This window comes from Homo sapiens, chromosome 3 (genome assembly GCF_000001405.40).
Source record: "Homo sapiens chromosome 3, GRCh38.p14 Primary Assembly".
In the NCBI taxonomy this organism is placed as follows: domain Eukaryota; kingdom Metazoa; phylum Chordata; class Mammalia; order Primates; family Hominidae; genus Homo; species Homo sapiens.
This window is the reverse complement of record NC_000003.12, coordinates 94468611-94489426: the sequence shown is the minus strand read 5'-3', so window position 1 is coordinate 94489426 and position 20816 is coordinate 94468611.

Sequence of the window (20816 nt, the reverse complement as noted above, 5' to 3'; positions counted from 1 at the left end):
GTATGGTTTATATAACATAAATGCCTAAACTATATGCTCTGTCTATAGGTGTGTATATGTATATTCTATGTAAATATAGAATAAATTTATTCTATAGGTCTATTCTATATTTTATATATTCTATTGTTATTACTGTGTTTATGTATTATACATATTGTTAAACCTACACATTTTTAAGAGAATTACAGAATGATTTACATGAGTGTAATTTCTAATGACTTCACTCACACGCCAACACATCATGGTGAGTGTTTATGAGTTTAGAGAGCACTGTGGTAGAGATTTAGTTCCATTTACTTTTCAAGGACATAGGAATCTAAGTCTATTTGCTGAATCAATTAATGTAGAAAATAATTTGATCAATAACAGACATAGTCAAATAATGAGGGAAGTAATAAACAAATTTCTGATTCGCCTTCAATTGACTTCGGTGATGATTCGCTAAGTTTGTCTTCTTTTACCAGATAATTTTTTTAAATAAAATAGAACATTTCAAACAATATCAAATATAAATAAGGAGTACAGTTCAAGGAAACTTAAAACTAAGTACGGTATTTCCTCTCTAAGAGAAAATTTCAAAATCCTTTCTATTTTATAAGATGCTTCATAAGCATGCATAAGTGTATTTGAACATCACTTACCACAAGTAAAATCAGTACAAGATCCTATAGTCAAATCAGAAATATGAAATGATTTTTACTTCTCAATGTGTATAAATGTATAAGAAAAAAACAAGCCATAAAGCTCTCCTCTTATTTATCTTTAAAAAAGGGTTGAATCAGCCTTGAAACATTTTATATTTTCCACATTTCTCTAGGGGGTTATTTTTGAAAAATTATTCAACGTTGTTGAGGATGGCACTCATCTGCAGAAAGTCCTTCACTTCAAGAACATTTTAGGACCATTTGGTGCTGAGGAAATTGAGGCTCAGAGAAATGCAAAATAAGCTTCTGGGAGGACCTGGCTAAATGTCACCAGTCCTGTAAATGTACGGCAGTGATGTATGGCAGGCAAGGCTTGTGAAAGTTAGAGCTATGCATCCTCTTATGCAACTCTGCCTTTAGTTTCTTTCCTGGTGCTAGTTTGAGGGATAAATTTGAGCTAAGGGGCTTGGCTTTCATGTGTACACTGAGAGCAGGTGATTTCTCACTGCTGTCTTTCATATCATCTTTGCTTTCCTCCTCTTGATCTTCACCTATGAGAGGAGATGCTTTCTAGGTGAGATAAAATAAATACACAAGTATAAAGAGTCTAAGCACTACCACAGAAGATTTAGGGATTAAACAGTTCTGGATTAAAGTGAGAAGGGGTAAGAGGAACTCTGAACTCTGCCAGAGATCAGCCCTTTAAATGTATTTGTTGTTCTCAAATATGTACTTGGAGAAATGGCATCAGTTAGTACATAAAAGCAACAATATATTTGGGGGTTCGCAATTCTTTAATTTAACCCTCCTCTCTATCAGCTATATAGGGATGCAGAAAAGTAAACTCAGGCACTGCCATGTCCTGCCTTGGTATTAATCAGAACCAACAAGATTTGGATACACATAAACATAACTAAAAAGGTTTTTAAAATCCTTTAAGAACATTAATCATACATTATGGATCTACTGAGTTAGCAAATGCTTAACAAAATAATTTTAAAATTCCACAAACACAATAATGTTGTGAGTTTAAATCAGACTTTAATATAACAAACATTCTTGGCCTGCATTGATTGCCAAGGATGTAAAGGATACTCAAAACAATTTATACCAATCTTCCCTTCATAAAGATGTTAGTAAAGTATGTAGCAAAAAAACAAAAAGATAAAATGAAAAAGACCATGTCAGAGGACCATAGTCTCCATCCTTTACGTACTCTTTCCTTTACTATCTTTTTTGGGTGTGTGTTGCTGAGGATTTTTTTATGCCTTTTGAATATGCAATCCTCCTTTGTTTCAAAGCTAGAGCCTTACAGCCCTGATTATAGCTTCTTATATAATAATCTTTCCTTTTCTCCAGCAAAGTTATACCACAATATACATCAAATCTGCATGTAATGATCTCTAGAACTACTTTGCTCTATTACAAAAGCTTCCCCCTATACTCACTATAACACACACACTCTGTCTCTCTCACTTAGACCCAATCTTACAGAATTAAATTTCGCCCATTTATGTTGCTCGTATGCATTCTGAGCTCACAGCTTTTTCTTTACGGATTTTGCCTGTCTTGGCACCAAGAGAGAATCTTTTAGTCCATCCACCTTAAAAGACTTGTGTCAGGCTACCCCATCTACTCTGTCACCTCCCCCTACTAGCTCCTTTCATAATCATCCATACAACCTGCTCATTCAGTTCTTTAATTCCTCTGAATATTGTTCTCACTCTTTTTTTCCACATAATAAAAGGAGCTATTTACTTTCAAATGAAGCAGCACCATTTTAGAGCAAGGAAACTGGCTTTTGTGTGTTCTATCACCTGGAAGACCATCACTCAAGGAAGAGATATTTTCAAGTATTATTTTTCAAACTACATGATACATTTAAAATAAATTTCTTTCTAAGGATCTTACAGAACTGGTGATGTGTTTTGGCTCTGTTTGGGTGGTTTGCCCACCCAAATCTCATCTTGTATCTCCTATAATTCCCACATGTTGTGGAAGGGACCTGGTGGGAGATAATTGAATCATGGGGGTGGGTCTTTCCCATGCTGTTCTCATTATAGTGAATAAGTCTCACAAGATCTGATGATTTTAATAAATGGGAGTATCCCTGAGAAAGCTCTCTTTTCCTGTCTGCTGCCATGTGAGACATGTCTTTCAACTTCCACCATGATTTTGAGGCCTCCCTAGCCAAGTGGAACTGTAAGTCTGTTAAATCTCCTTTTTTTTTTGTAAATTTCCTAGTCTCGGGTATGTCTTTATCAGCAGCATGAAAACAGGCTAATAGAACTGGCAAAACTTATTTTTAAAAATAAATGTTGGCAACCCACTGCAGGTGTTATGAAAGCATAGAATGCCCTGCTTTCTTAAGATAACTGCACAACAGGGCACATGTCTAAGAATCTGGATTTCAGTCAAATATCCAAAGATTTCTTCCTTAAGGAAATTTTGGAAAAATCTATAACCTTAGTAAAATGGGGATTAAAACAATATAAAGATATTTCTCTTTGAGTAGTGCTTCTGATCAGGTCAACACTTAACACTTTTGTCTGTTAAAGCATTTTATAAATAGTGAATTTGTTTCCAACTAATAATAATTTCAAAATAGAACATTTTAGTAGCATTCTAAATATGTAAGGTGCTTTTACATACAATTTTTATTTACCTTCATACGTCTCAGTGAGGTTTGTAGGACAGACACTGTTACCTCTTTTGACAAATGAAGAAACCCAGGCTAAGGGAAGCTGCAAGAGATTAGGTGACTTGCCCTAATCTTTGACACAGATACTGGAGAGTGGAGGAAGAACTAGGCTCCAGGGTTACTACAGATTAAATCTCTCAGTGAATGACTCTCCAATTTCCAAGAATTAATTCATTCAACAGAGAATTTTAAAATTCTCACTGTTCATTAGGCATTATGCTAAAAGCAACCAAGAAACATTGTACTTAAAGACAATAAAGTACGTAAACACTGATAAGAAATATTCTCAACCCTAGTTACTTACTGAGGAGAGTTAGGAAAGACTTCAAAAAAGAAAGGATGTTTTTGCCTAGTCATGAAAGATGATTAACGTTTTACTAGACTGTTGGTATTCTGACAGTCTGGGAGCATAATATTCAATGGCAAAAAAAAAACAAGAAGGCTGATATGGTTTGACTGTGTCCCCACCCAAATCTTATCTTGAATTATAGTTCCCATAATCCCCACATGTTCTGGAAGGGACCCAGTGAGAGATAATTGAATCATGGGGGCATTTACCCCTGTTCTGCTGCGTTCATTATAGTGAGTGCATTCTCACAAAATCTAACGGTTTTATAAGGGACTTTTCCCTCTTTTACTTCATGCTTCTTCCTGCTGCCATGTGCAGAAGGACATGTTTGCTTCCCTTTCCACCATGATTGTAACTTTCCTGAGGCCTCCTTAGCTATGCTGAACTATGAGTCAATTAAACCTCTTTCCTTTAGAAATTACCTAGTCTCAGATATGTCTTTATTAACAGCATGAGAATGGACTAATACAAAGGACAACAGAAATTTGATGTGGTTGGAATTTAGACAGGTGAAATGGTTGGAGGTGTGGATGGGGAAGTAGAGATGGTAAAGAATGGTAGTGGTAGGAGATGAAATTTAAAAGGTAGGCAAATATATATATTTTTGTCCCTTGGGCACTCTCCCCATTGAAAAGTGGTTTCTATGTCCCCTCCAATTGAATCTGGATGGACTCTGTGACTATGTGACCAACAAAATACCATGTAAGTGATGATTTCTAGGACTATTCTTTAAGAGGTTGGCAGCTTGCATTTCCTAATTCTACTTGCTCCTAGAACATAACCACCATGCTGTGAGAAAACTCAAACAACCCTGTGGGGAGTAACCATTTACCTCAGCTGCCAGCCCAGGTTGAGCTCCCAGCCAACAACAAGCATCAAGTTGCCAACCATCTGAAGGAGCTACTTGAAAGTGAATCCTCACCCCTTTGTAAGACCCACAGTGGAGCCCACATGAAGCAGAGATGAGCTACCTCTTCAGATCCATAAACGATTTCATATTTAATGAAAAATAAATGATCATTCTTGTTTTAAGCCACCAGGTTTGAGATGGTTTTTATGCAGCCCTAGATAATTGGAATATGGGGGATTCGTGATCAGATTTATAGAAAGGTTCCCCATGTGTGATGAATAGCGGTAGGACTACTTCATTTGATTAGATGGAGAGATGATAGGGGAAGAGAAAAATGAATAAATGTTCCACTAAAGCAGATAACAATCATATTTTTTAGCTCAGAGGATAAAGCATGAATTTTAATGATTCCTGAAAGCATCAGCATCTTAGGAAAGCTACATATGAACCTAAGTTCATGATGTGACATTAGAAAAAGATTCATACTCTAAAAATGCTGTGCTATCATTGAATATTCTTATCTTAATGGCAAAAAAAAAATTATGTCTTGAACACAGGAAAGTGACCCTAAAATATAAAAACTTACTCTCCCTGAAAGAGGCTGTCAACATTTTAAAGTATTTCTTAAATCCCAGAATAGAAGCTAAACCTGCTTGAGAGTTCCCTGAAATATCCGCTCTGTATGATTGTTTTAATGCTGAGGTTTCCTCAAGAACACACAATTTTTATTATAACCTATAACCCTTGATTACTACACCTGAAAGATTTTTAGAAAAATAACACCCTTTGCTCACCCCACCACTGTCTAACCTTTCTGTTAAGAAAACTTGTGAAGTGCTTGTTTATTTTTTTGTTTTGTTTATTAAAGGTCCCTTCATTTCTATAAATTATGGGTTGGTTAAAGATGATCATCCTTATAATTCCTATTTTTCTCCGTAATTACAGTGTTTAACATGTTACAAATATTCCTGAAACACCTATCACTGAAGTAGAACCCTCTTGTAAATAGTGTGGTTGGACATGTCTAGTGGTCATTTATTGTCACATGCATGTTATGTCTGGGGAACCATTTGGCAAGTGGATATTGAAATTCATTTTATAATAAGCCATATTCTTATACTTCCTACATTCCTCTGATGATACATAGAAGGGAAATTTTCAAAGGCCAATGGCAAAGGAAAAATAATCAGTTAAGCTCTAGGTAGGAGGAAAAAAGAGTTGTTTATCAACTCACTGGGAAATTATTTTCCAAGGCTAAGGGCAATATAAATCACACCCTACTCTCCGCCTCTGGGAAATTTGCTCTGGGCTAAGAACAAAGGATATTGAGATAGTTATGTAACTATCGAATTGAACTGTTGAATTCAGTCTATACTGGCAAAAAGACTGCACAGAAGTTGAATTAGCAGACACAATTTAAAAAACAGTTTCTGTATAAAAATTTGGTTCTCTAGCTTCTCTTGAAGAAAATAGAATAACTTACGGGACTGGGTTCATATTCTCACAGGGCAGCCCCTCACCAGGCAGTGTAGTGACTGCCCACAGTAGAAGGGGCATTTAAGATTCAATGTTCACCTCCCCCTCCTGGCACTCCCTGCCCTGGGTCAGTGTGCCCCATTCTTATCATTACAGTGAGACTTTATTTTTCTTATAGTAAAATTATAACAAAGTGAAATTTATTGTATCCAAATTTCTAACAAAGATAAGAAAATAAAATTTAGTCAAAAAGGGCAAATGCATCCAGAAATGTTCCTTATATCCAAGCCTCTTTACCTATTTATGTTACACTCCTAGTCCTCATGGGAATTTGAGTTTACTTCCTGTGATTTTAGACAGTCAAGATGAATTATTTGAGCCAAAAGAAAACTGTTGACTCTGCTTCCGTTGGCCTGAGGGAGCTTGATAATATATCAATTTCCAGTTTATTTTCTCTCAAAGAATTTACTCACTGAGAAAGTCAATCCAACTGTCCTTTCACTGGCCTTTGAGCCATCTCATAAACTGGCCATTTATGGCTTTTGAGTTGCCCTTTCGACAAAGATGTCAGTCCCAGCCCTATGCTTCTCATGTACTTTAAATAATATTTCTCAACTTCAGGTTATTTCTACCCTTAGCAGCTGACTGACTTATGGCTTATTAACCCATTCACTCCTTCCCAAAGCCCACAATCAAAACCATCTATTGCGATAGTGATATGTTTCTGGTCCCACAAAATATCTTATTTCTTTATTCAATTTGCAGTTTCTAGTTTCCGCTTATGGTTTCCTCATCTGAAGACAGCAATACAAATACCTTCTAAAAAAAAAAGCTTCCTGTTGTTTAATAAAATGAATTTTAAAGTGAAATATTGAGGTAAATGCCTATTTATTTTTAATTTTTGTTTCGCCTTACCAAGATTACTTGGTAAAAGTAATCTTGTGAACCTTGGCTGCAATTGGCAGTATGAGGACTTGCCTTGCATCAGGAAATGATCAAGCCTCACAAATGGAATGTGAGTGGTTGCAGGCACCTCCACTGCTGACTGCAGCCTTGGGAACCAAAACATCTTGAGCAGCAGCATCTATAACAAGATGCTATGTTAAAGGGTTGAGTCCTCCAAAATCCCATGTTTAAACCTATTCCCCAATGTGATAGAATTAGGAGTAAGGGTCTTTGTGAGGTGATTAGATCAAGAAACTGGAACCTTCATGAATGGAATTATCGCCCTTATAAAGGAGACCTCAAAGAGCTGCCTTACCCTTTCTATCATACGAGGACACAGGTAGAAGGCACCATCTATGAACTAGAGAGCAGACCTTCTTAGGCACCAAATCAAGTCTTGATGTCAGACTTCCCAGCTTCCAAATCTATGAGAAACAGATTTTTGTTGTTTTTAAGACACCTAATTTATGGTATTATTGTTATAGCAGCCCAGACAGACTATGACATGAGGTAGTGTTGGTAATTTAAAAGAATAAACACAAACCCCAATTATTAAAATAAATCTACAGAAGACAGAGACAGAGAGGAAGAGAATGAGAGATTTCCAGACATTGAGAAGCTGGCAGAAAGCATTAATAGGCAATAAACAAAAGCCCAACCAATGATTAAGCTGTTCCACTTTGGGGCTGCACATTTGGAAATTAACATCTGTTTCTGGACTACATAGGTAGAGGCAAGTTAATGGCATTGCTGCCAAGGCCTTATCTGCTTTCATTCCTCAGTAGCAGTTATTCTCACTTCTTTAGGCCTAGAGCCTGAAGAGAAACTGGCACCTGTTTCTGAGTCTCTATTGAAGCCTCAAAATGGAAAATAATAGGCTAATTAAATGAAAGGATTTTCCTCCTGTCCTGGAGCTGCTGCAAAGAATAAAAACCATTCATCGGAGTGTTCAAGTTTTTATGCAGCAGAACAGATAATGGATAAAAGTTCAGGTGCTCTGCAATTAGTGCTGGGCAAGTGCTTCTGGCAGGCATCCAATGCCCAAAGACACAGCATTGCTACAGTCTGCCAAACTGCATCCTTAAGAAGCCTTATTTTCTATCCCTTCAAAAGTCTGAATTGTAATTGCTGTGTTCTGAGACAAATGAAGGGCTAATCTGCCTCCTCACAGTGTACATTTCCAGAGGGGTTAATTTCCGGGTGTGTCAAGAAGGCGGCTCTAATTCTTCCTAAATCACTGAGGACAGTGGTGATTCCCATACAAAATGCATTAAATGCATCATCCTGTCTTTATTTATCACAGGAAGATCTGTTGACCATTCACATCAGAAACATCTGGGGTGACCAGACCACAAAATCAAAATCTCCCACATTGGCATTCAGAGTCTGTATTTTTTAACAAGTTCTGTGATTCCGATTCACATTAAAATTGGAGACCCATTGATCCTAGGTTATTTTGTTTTAATTTTACACCTGCACTTTACCACATAGACATTGTTTCACAGGTACAGTTTATACCCTCATGAAACCTATGGACTTGTGAAACGTAAAATGAAAAATGAAACAAGAAAATCTATTATTGCAAATCTTGACTATCTCTATGAAGAAAAAGAAAGGATGCCATCACAAAGAGTTAATTGGGGGAGGCAGGAAATGAGCCAGGTAAGTAGATAAGAAGAACCCTCCGTAAAGACATCTCTTCTCTCCCCGCAGAATTATTAACTTTCTGTAGTAAATCAAAACCTAGGTTCCGTGCTTAGGCCCTGAGGAAGCTAAAAGCCAGTTCTAAGGAAATTTAGAATAACACAGCTTTGTTTGTGTCTCCAAATGTGCAAATATTTTATTATATTCTCAAAGCAAACCTATGAGATCATCAAAACAAATATTATCAGACCCATTTACAGATGAGGAAATCTATGGCATTTTAAATAACTTGACTATGATCAAAAAAATGAGTTAGAGATGAGCCTTCTCTTAGTTCGTGGGTCTTCTTGTTTCAAGTTCATAGCATAGACAAAGGAATATTCAACAGGGACCCAAAGCAGAAGGTAGTTTAGGTCATCTTAGAAGTGTATTTCCTACCAAAAGAAAGGTAAACTTGTCTTAATAGAATGGAACATCTTCTGCCTATGAAATCATCACTGATATTCAAAATATCTTTCCTTTTATCTAGTCACATGAAGGTACTTGATCAACTCCCCAGTTTTAGAAACCGCCCTGATTCAATTTAGTTTTTACTTTTCTGTTGAGCAGAAGAAGGAACTGTGCTGGTTCCTGAAAAAAATATTAATACAGTTGTTCCTCAGTGTTTATGCGGGATTGATTCCAGGATCACTGCAGATAGCAAAATTCAGGGATGTTCAAATCCCTTATATAAAATGCATAGTGTTTACATGTAACCTACACACATCCTCCTGTGTACTTTAAATCGTCTCTAGATTACTTCCAGTACCTACAATGTAAATGCCATGTAAATAGTTGTTATACCATATTGTTTAGGGAATAATAAGAAAAAAGTATGTACATGTTCAGTACAGACACAACCATCCATTTTTTCAAATATTTTTGTTCTATAATTGGTTGAATTCATGGATGAGGAATGCATAGGCATAGAAAACTGGCTGTATAGGGTGCTGTCTCTCATAGAACTAACAAATTAATGGGTAAGAGAAAGATACATCATCATCTATTATACAATCTGAAATTAAATAACTACTAAACAATAAATTTTACATGATCAATTTTTTCAACAAATATTTAATGAACACCTACTATATGGGGGAAGCTCTTGAGACAGATAAATCAGGCAAAGCAAACATTTTTAAACAGGTAATATTTGAACTATGTTTTTAATCAGAAAAAGAGATTGACAATTGGAAAATAAGAATAAAAGGATTAAAGGTTGAGAGCAGAAAACAGACAAATTAAAGAGTGATAAAAACATAATAGGCAGGAAAAATGTAAATAAGGATATTTACAGACTTTGCAAAACAATGTAGTAGAAGACAGTGAAAAGTTTGAGATTACATCAAAGAAAATTCTTGCAGATTTGGTAAGTATTTAGGACTTTATTGCAAGGTAAAATGAAACTATTTTAACTCTGAAGAGTGGAAGAATAAACCCTAGTCCATAAATGAGAAAGAAACATACTTAAATTACAAAAGAACATATTAAAAAATCCTCCAATACCTCATTTTTCTCTTTGATTTTATAATCCTTTGGAGTGCATACATTAATATAGGTAATATATATTCCTAAAGTTGTAAAATGTTTAAGGTTAGGAAATAGATATATGCAATTCTCAGTAAAAATCACACTTTGCCAAGAAGTAGCTAGTGATTATTACAGGGTCTTGAGTTCCCTTCTAAAGGAGGCAGGCAGAGTGGATTGGAGATCCCATCTCATCATTTGCATGTCCCTGGGCAAGCATTGTGACTTATTCTTCTGTGATTCCTCAAAACTTAAGACAGGGTTCAATACACAGAATCCATGTTTAATGAATGAGAATAAATAAATGAATGATAAATCATCATTCTAGTACAACCATGCCTGGAAATTTAATATTTTCCATTATTTTATGCATATGGGCTTGCTTATATTTTCCTGGGAATTATAATGCTGCTTCTTGTAAATAGAATGAATCTTCATCAGATTACATGCTGTAAATAGCCTTCTCATATTAATATAGTCCATGCGAAAATAAAAGAATACTCTGAGAAAGTGGTCAATATGCCTTTCCATCCAATCTTGCTGAAAATAGGCATTCACACACATACATATATATGCACACTGGCATATATATATATGTACAAATATGTATAATTATACGTATACATATGTATAATTTTCATTCAGTTTGATTAGTGAATGGTAAGAACCAATTTTAATAGAAGTTATGACAAAAACTTACTTTGACCTTGTATCATCTTTTCCAGATTAAAATCAAAGCATATAAAAGTATAGCATATTATAACTGATTTAAACAAATTTTAGTAGCAGTATAAAGTTGTCTTGTCACAGGGATCAAGTTTCTTCTTACTGAAAATCTTTTTTACATGACAGCTGCAATTTCTTTATCAGAATATCTGGAAACCACTTTCACAAGTAAGGTTATTATTTTTCATTTTTATGTGATGATTAAATCCTCCTAGAAACATATCATGTTGTACTTCCAAAGAACCTCTCAAGACCAAGAAATCAACACTAATTTGGCAAAAGAATATAGATGATATGAAATCTTGCCTAACTAAAAAATATTGGGATGGGAAATAGTTTGTGTTCAAAGAATGTCTATCAAAATTGTTGGTAATTCTGCAAAGGAAGAAATACAAAGGTGTTAAACTATCAAATAGTTTAATTAGAAGGTTATATACTTTGAAATTATCATTATCAGCATGGAGGAGAATTCTCTCCAGCTGCTCTTTCTTGCCAACATAGAGAGTGAATATTTATTTTAAGGTAGTAGTGTTTTAGTCATCCATTTACCAGTTTTTGCTTTTTTTTTTTCTTTTTTTAAATTATACTTTAAGTTTTGGGATACATGTGCAGAATGTGCAGGTTTGTTACATAGGTATACATGTGCCATGGTGGTTTGCTGCATCCATCAACCTGTCATCTAGGTTTTAAGCCACGCATGAATTAGGTATGTGTCCTAATGCTCTCCCTCCCTTTGCCTCCCACCCCACAGAAGGCCTCAGTGTGTGATGTTTGCCTCCCTGTGTTCATGTGTTCCCATTCTTCAGCTCCCACTTATGAGTCAGAACATAGGGTGTTTGGTTTTCTGTTCCTGTGTAAGTTTGCTGAGAATAATGGTTTACAGTTTCATCCATGTCTCTGCAAAGGACACAAATTTATTCTTTTTTGTGGCTGCATAGTATTCCATTATGCATATGTGCCACATTTTCTTAATCCAGTCTATCATTGATGGGCATTTTGGTTGGTTCCAAATCTTTGCTACTATGAATAGTGCTGCAATAAACATACATGTGCATGTGTCTTTATAGTAGAATGATTTATAATCTTTTGGGTATATACCCAGTAATAGGATTGCTGGGTGAAATGGTATTTCGGGCTCCAGATTCTTGAGGAGTCGCCACACTGTCTTCCACAACGGTTGAACTAATTTACACTCCCACCAACAGTGTAAAAGTGTTCCTATTTCTCCACATCCTCTCCAGCATTTGTTGATGCCTGACTTTTTAATGATCATCATTTTAACTGGCGTGAGATGGTATCTCATTGTGGTTTGGATTCCCATTTCTCTAATCACCAGTGATTATGAGCTTTCTTTTGTATGTTTGTTGTCCATATAAATGTCTTCTTTTGAGAATTGTCTGTTCATATCCTTTGCCCACTTTTTGATGGGGTTGTTTATTTTTCTCTTGTAAATTTGTTTAAGTTTCCTTGTAGATTCTGGATATTAGAACTTTGTCAGATGGATAGATTGCAAATATTTTCTCCCATTCTGTAGGTTGCCTGTTCACTCTAATGACAGTTTCTTTTGCTGTGCAGAAGCTTTTTAATGTAATTAGATCCCATTTGTCAACTTTGGCTTTTGTTGCAATTGCTTTTGGTGTTTTAGTCATGAAGTCTTTGCCCTTGCCTGTGTCCTGAATGGTATTGCCTGGATTTTCTTCCAGGGTTTTTATGGTTTTAGGTTTTACATTGAAGTCTTTAATCCATCTTGAGTTAATTTTTGTATAAAGTTTAAGGAAGGGGTTCAGTTTCAGTTTTCTGCATATGGCAAGCCAGTTTTCCCAGCATCATTTATTAAATAGAGAATCCTTTCCCCATTGCTTGTTTTTGTCAGGTTTGTCAAAGATCAGATGGTTGTAGATGTGTGGTGTTGTTTCTGAGACCTCTATTCTGTTCCATTGGTCCATATATCTGTTTTGCTACCAGTACCATGCTGTTTTGGTTACCGTAGCTTTGTAGTATAGTTTGAAGTCAAGTAGCATGATGCCTCCCGCTTTGTTCTTTTACCAGTTTTTAAGTTAAAAATATAGCAATAAAGAGTTGACTATGTGTATGGGCTTGCAGATACAGGATTTTCCTGTGATCTCCTGGAAGTACATAGTATAAAATTATAATTTTAGATTGGGTTTCAGTCACCAAGATTGACTAAATAACAATCAAATACTTTGAAGCACAGAGGCTTAATGATATATTTAGCTCCTTAATAGGGAGAATACTTAATAATTATTTCAGAAAATAAGCATCACTTTATATTGAAACAATAAACTGTTTTACAGAACAATAGATTGATTACAAAAATTCTCCTCTATTTATGACACCTTGTCATATAACTTTAAATGCCTTGTCACACTCAATCTCAGCTTGATCATGTGATTTATTTTGGCCAATGGAATGTTAGCAAATGTGATGCAAGGAGAAGCTTTTAAAGTGCTTCTGAATTGGGAGTTGTTCTCTTTGGCTACTTTTGGAAAGCCTATTACAATTACTATGTATGTGAATAAGCCCAGGTTGCCTGCTGGATAATGGAAGAACCACAGAGACTAGAGATAAGATGTTTCAGCTAAGCTGTCCTAGAAGAGGTAATCTACCAGTTAATCCACCAGTAACCAAAACAGCATGGTACTGGTACCAAAACAGATATATGGACCAATGGAACAGAACAGAGGTCTCAGAAACAACACCACATATCTAACTGCAGATAATACAAACAAACCAAGCAGAGATCAGTTGAACCAGGCCACACTGGCAGAACCACCCAGGTGTGGCCAGGACAAATTGCTGGCTCACAAAATCATAAGCTATGTAAATTGCTATGGTTTAAGCCACAAAATTTTAGGATATTTTATTACAAAGCAAAAATTAACTAATCATATTATGAAATTAGTTTCAACAATCTGTTAATTTTTATAAATTATTTCTCTGAACACATATGTAGCAAAATAAAAAAATATTGAACTATATTCCCATTAAAAAGCTTATGTATTACTTTTTATGAATTTCTAGATGTTTGTACATCAATCTGCTTGTGAGAATTGTTCTATAAACTGCAAAAGGCTATAAAATTGTCACTATTAATGCAAATGAAACCTTGTGGATCCCATGAAAATATCAAAATATTTCCCCCATCTCATGTTGTTAAAAACGCCAAAATACTATGTTCTGTTGGAATGTGAGTCATGAATGTCTATATTTAAAAAATGAATAATTTTAGGAGTGACAAAGTTATATAAGCTTCAAAAAGAAGCTTTAACCATCTAGAAATTAATATATATTTTTAGAGTTTTCTGAGTAGACAGAGCAGTAAGATATTCTGGAAATAGTCTTTCATGAACATTTGATTTACAGATGGCAAAAGTTATAATTTAAGAGCTTCAAGTAATGTGTGTTTCGTTTTATTTTTCTGCTTATGGAGAAGACCTGAATGATGTAACCTGAATGCAGATACTTCATACTAAGAAATTTAGTCATGTGGCTGGTCATTTTATTTGGGTATTGTTTCTGAAAACTATGTTGCTTAATTGCAAAAAATAATGCTTTTGTCAGTAAGCATTTTGACAAATGTACATATATACGTATAAAAATGTATTATTTGTATTGAATTGAATTTGACTGTGGAACATGAGTTGAATTATTATCCAAAGTGAAATGTTACCTAAGGCTGATTAACTCAAGATGGACTAAGGCAGAGATATTTTGTTTTAGGGCCACAGGGCAGGGTCACAACACATCCTTCAAATCAAAGCAAGTATTATGATTAATATTCCTTGGAAAATGTCAACACAGGGAATTAAATAAGGATTTGGGAGATGGGTCTTTTAGTTGAAAGTAACAGCAGAGCTTCATTTTTTTTTTAATTCTGGAGGCTTGTAGAAGAAGCCTGAAGTCAACATAATATGGACACGGAAAAGTAAACTCCTATTAGAGGGAAAAAGATCAGCTAGTCCCTGTACATGATATTAGGGCAAAAGCAAAAAGGAAAGCACATTTCACAAGTACCCCAATAATGGGCCTGAATTTTGCCTTGAGTAGTGTAAACTAATCTAGTGTAGTTTTTTTCCAGAATCCACATATTCTTAATGAATTGCTTTTTAAAATTTAAGCATCTTCTTTTCTTTCCTTGTTGGGAGTTAAGAGACTAGTCTAGACCTATTCTTGGGGTGAAGGACCACATGGAAAAATACTGATAGCTGAGTGAGCCACAAACCATAGTTAGGGTCGAAGCAGGGTCCAGATGTGGCAGACGGCTTAGGTAGCAAGAAACTGCCAGGACAGCTTAGTGGAGCAGGTAAGCTTTCTAAAATGTTCTTAGAACATTTATGCTTACAAACTTTATAGAATGCTTGCTACAAGTACCTGGGAAGAGAAACATAGGAAATGCTTGGTATTCCCTGTAAGAAATGACCTATAAGTATAGTGATTATGACAGGGACAACAGGCAGGGAAATTCTGGGCAGAAGAGGGTGGGTCCCCAGCAAGGGACCCAACCTCAAGCCTGGAACTGAGGCCCAAAGTGAGAACCTATATCCCTGTTTGTCCGCCTTTTCCAAAACCACTGATGGCCTGCACTGCCCCCTGTCCTGTGCCCATAAAAACCCCAGGCTCAGCCAGAGGAGAAGAGGAGAAGCAGTTGGACTTTGGGACTACAGTTGGACATTGGAGAGAATCAGCTTGACATCAGAGGCATAGCTTAACAGCATAGTTTCAGGGGATGATTGCTTTCCTGTCCTATCCCTCTTTTAACTCCTCATCTCACTGAGAGCCACTTCCATTGGCAATAAAATCCTCCACATTTACCATCTTTAATTCATTCGTGCAACCTCTTTTTTCCTGGATGCCGGACAAGAACTCAGAGCCTTGAGTTCAGGTGCAAAAGGCTATCACACTGACCCTCTGCTGAGCTGTTAACACTTAAACCATCCATGGATGGCAAAGCTGAAAGAAGACCAACTGTAACACTGTAACACTCCCCGTGGGGCTTTGGAGTTGTGGGCACATCCCCTAGACACTGCGGTGGGGCCAGTACAGAGTTTGTTCCTGCCAGAGCCCAAAAGTGCTTGCCCTAGCTCCTGCATCTCCTCACCTGCATGCTCTCCCTCCCAAGAAGGGTTGAGGGCTGTGGGCTGAGTAAGCAAGGAACCCCTCTCACAATCCCCATGAAGGAGTCAGGAAAATATCCTGCTTCATTTGGACGCCCACCCGGTATACATCAGAAAGGTGAATAAATGTGGATCTGCTGAATGTGTTCCTTCACTTTTTTCCCAAGGCTTCTTGTCCTCAGACTTTCCTCTGAGCTATGCCACTTGCAGGTGACAGGATGCAACCCTGCCACCTCTCTTTTTTTTTTTCAGGGAAGAGGAAAGTTGGTTCTGTTTTTCTTCACAAAGGTCTAACCATCATGTGGGACTGGATTAAAATCCTAGGACAACTGAAGTCACTGGCCAAGGCCACTCCTTGCTGTTGCCAGAAGGCCCCAAGACCAGACCCAGTCCCAGATCACCCATTAAGGTGTCAGCCACAGACATTTCTATGGTATCTTACCTTTCTTCTTTCACAGTTTGAAATGGCTCTTATCTCTTCTTTTATGTTAAGGGTTTTGCTGAAAACTGCAGAAATGTTACTAAGTAGAATGAGAGTTTGGCCCAACAACCAGATATGCAATTCAGAACAATGTGATTTTCATTTGTTCTTAGAGGTGTCATGCCCACCCCAACAGCCACAGGTGCACACAGGACACAGTGGCTCCCCTCCTGACCCCTCCCCTCTCAGCTGGGGCATTTGGGTGTGTCCACAGCATGCACTTGCCACATCCAATAGCTACACAGGGCAGGAGAGAACTGTGGTTGCCACCAAGGCCCCAGGGCAGTCTTGGGGACCAGGAACTACATGCAGCCAGCTGGCCAGTGTTTCCCACTCACCATCACCTCTCACCACATTCCCATAGAGTCTTTTCTCTCCTGGCAGAGGAGTTCAAGTTCAGTCTGAACTGGGGGAGGGATACAGTGATTAAAAGAAACCATTTGCATAGAGCAAGAGGTTCTTCTGCCCCTTTAAGCTGTTCTTTTTTCTCTTTTTTATGTGAGAGGGTCCTTTTACTACCTCACCACTCTGCTTTTGATAGGGAGGCAACAGAGGAGTGACCCCCACTAGCTAATAACTGCAAAATTGGCAAATCCCATCTGGGGCTTAATCTGAATGAATCCATGGACCCCTGAGACAACTTTTTATCCCAAACTCAATTCTAAAGTTCGGGTTGAGGCCCTGGAAATAAAAAACAGATCTGAGGGATCTAAAGCTAGGCAACAGGCACAGTATAAATAGGCAGGACCAATTCCTGCTGATTATACTCCTGTTTCATGGAAGGAGGCCATGCTCCATGGAATAGATGATGCTCAGGGAACCCAAAGGTTGCTGACAGTAGCAGAGATGGAGGCATAGGTGAGTGAGAACAATCCCTGTTCTGTAGGCCCTCCCTGTTTCATGAGTGCAGGCCGCAATGGCACACATGGGTGGTGTCCATCTAAGTTTGCTGGGTCTCTGGGATAAAAAGACAGAACAGAAAAAGGAGATGCTCATTTTCTCTCTCCCTCACACCCCGAGTTTTCACTGAAAGAAAGAAGTGAAATGAGGGATGCCTATTTTCCTGTCTTTCAGAATGGACAACTTGTTATCTTCACCATCCATAATCTATACTCTTCTGGAGTGTATCCTGAATCACTGTTTTGATCCTCAGACTCTGGAGGAAAAATGCCTCATAGCCCTCTGCACAAGGGTTTGGCCAAACTATGATCTGCAGGAAGGACTGGCTTGGCCTCGAGAAGAAATCATTCATTTTGATACCATCATGCAATTGGACCTTTTCTGTAAATGTGAGGGCAAATGGTCTGAGGCCCCGTATGTGCAGGCTTTTTTACCTTGCAGGGTATTCCCAGACCTTTGCCAACAGTGTAGGGTTAATCCAGTCCTCTTGTTTGCCATCTCAGGAGAGGCTACAAGGGGCAATCCCAGGGAACTAAAGAAACAAACTCCAGAGGCACCTCCAGCAGGGGAGCCAGCTCTCTTGGGCCTTATACCTCTGGGTCCACCCCATCTTCCCTAACCAGTTTCTCTCTCTTGTTTGCCCCCTCCTAGAAATCCTCACCCTAACAAACCCCAGTCTCACTCCTGCCCCTCCAGCAGATGCCTGATGAATTTGGCCCCAGTAAGGTCCAGATCCCCTTCTCTCTACAAGACTTAAGGCAAATTTAGAAGGATCTTGGCAGGTGTTCAGATGACCGAGACAGATGTATAGAGGTTTTCCAGAATTTAACCCAGGTATTTGAACTCTTCTGGAAGGACTCTATTACTTTTGAATCACACCCTGACCAATGAAGAGAAGCAGGCCACTCTGCAAGTGACAGAAGGATTTGATGATGAGTTTTGTATCACATATAGTGTCAGGGAAGGAGTCAAACTTTATCTAACTTGAAGAGAAGCAGTACCATTGGATGCCCTAAATGGGATCCCAAAGACAAGATGGGAGAACGGAAAAGGAGACGTTTTCAAGTATGCATAATGGAGGGCTTATGTCAGACTAGAACTAAGCCCATCAATTATACCAAGCTATCCATGATAGACCGGGGATTTGATTAAAATCCCACTGCCTTCCTGGAAAGGCTAAGAGAGGCCTTCGTAAAGCATACTTCTCTTTCTCCTGATTCGGTCAAGAGACAACTAATCCTAAAGGATAAATTTATTACTCAGGCAGCCCATGATATCAGGTGGAAACTGCTGAAACAGGCCCTGGAACCAGATAGTACTTCAGAGAACCTCCTGAAAGAGGTCACTTCAGTCTTCTACAACAGGTCACTGGAATAGACTCTTGAATTCTTTATACATGAGTAAAGGCCTGGGGAGCCGACAGAGTTACCTCTGTCAACCCAGGAGTACAGCCAAAGTACCAATGTGAAGAGATCAGGGACCTCAAACTAAAAATCACAAAAGCTAAGTGTTAATAACTAACCTTCCATGGATATCTTCTTTATAGTTTTGCCTACGTTTGTTGTTTTTACTTTTGTTTTGTTCTATGTCAGAGGGTACAATGTTGTTTTCAGAACAATTAGTATATTTCACTTATTTCTATAATCTTTGGCACTAGATTCTCTCCTTTTAACTCCTCTTTGTATAATACACATATTTGATCCATGCATACTTAACCTTGTAAAACTTATTTCTTCTCACATAGAGGCCATCAAACTAACTCCAAATGGTCAGGCAAACAGACCCTCAGACGATGGCTCCCTTTTGCTGAGGATCCTTAGGTAGACCACTGGGATGAATCTGACTGCCATTCTTCCCAAAACAATGCCCCCTGTCAGCAGGAGGTAGCTAAGATTGACAATTGTCTGTATTCTCACTGCAGTTAGATGTGCCTCTTCAGAAGGGGGAAATCATATGGAGAGGAGGCAGGAAATTCTGGGCAGAAGAGGTTGGATCCCCAGCAAGAGCCCCACCGCCCCACCCTGAAGCCTGGAACTGCAGCCCAAAGTGATAATTTATATCCCTGTTTTCCTGCTTGAATGTTGCCTTTTCCAAAACCACCCATAGCCCACACTGCTCTCAATCCTGTGCCCATAAAAACCCCAGGCTCAGATAGGTAAGAAGAACAGAAGCTGCTAGACATTGGATACTGTGGTTGAATGTTGGAAAGAAGCAGCTTGATTTCAGAAGGACAGCTTGACAGAGCTTTGAAAAGGAGCATGGCTGGGGATGGCCAGACTTTGGGGGATGATTCCTTCCTGACCCAACCCCTTTTCAACTTCCCATCCCACTGAGAGCCACTTTCATCAGCAATAAAACCCCTGCATATACCATCTTTGATTCATTCGTGCGATCTCATTTTTTCTGGATGCTAGACAAGAGCTCAGAGCCATGAGTGCTGGTGCAAAAGGCTATCACACTGACCCTCTACTGAGCTGTTAATACTTAAGGCATCCATGGACTGCAAAGCTAAAAGAGCACTGACTATAAGGCTTCAGGAGTTGCAGTCACCCTCCTAGACACTGCCATGGGGCTGGTACAGAGTTCATTCCTGCCAGTGCCCAAAAGCACTCGCCCTGGCTCCTGCACCCACTCACCTGCATGCTCCCCCTCCCACAAGTGGTCGAGCACAGCAGGCTGAGGAAACAAGGCACCCCTGTCCCATGGGCCACAAAGTGGTCAGGGAAATATCCTGCTTCAATTGTACTATAAAAAGAAAAAATTATTTTAATGATGCATGAGTCATGAAGTTACAAAAGGTGGTTCAAATGTATACTGATTTAATTCATAAAACTACAGCAAACTTTGTTACATTGAAAGCTATGTTCAGTTTAACTAATACCAAAAGTAAAAAAAAAAAAAAAGACAAATAGAAAAACCAAAATTCCACTTTTATTTTCCAATTATCATGAACACTATGCTCTTAAAATCCAATATAAGACATATTTGATCACATTATACATGATTAAACCCTTCCAATATCAGTCCACAAAAGCTTTTGTTAAAAAGCTCCTGACACTTAAGTTCACCTAGAATCCTAGACTCTAAGCCTAAACCCCTTTAAATTCAGTACTTCAATTATTTCAGTACCCCAATTACTCTAACTTCTGAGCTGCTTTGAGCCTCTCTTCACTCAGATTGTAAAATCTGAGATTAAATTTCTAGCAGACTGTCAATAATAAAAGGATTAGTTTATTAAAAAGGGGGACTGCCTCCCTCCCAAATAAGCTACAAAGCAGTAGCATACATTGAAATGGGGTGTTTTCTCAGAACTAGTTGTTACTTAGGGCTTGATTCATGTAGAAAATGGATATTGTCTGAGGCTGAAAAGCAATGTTTAATGGCGGAAACTCTATTTCT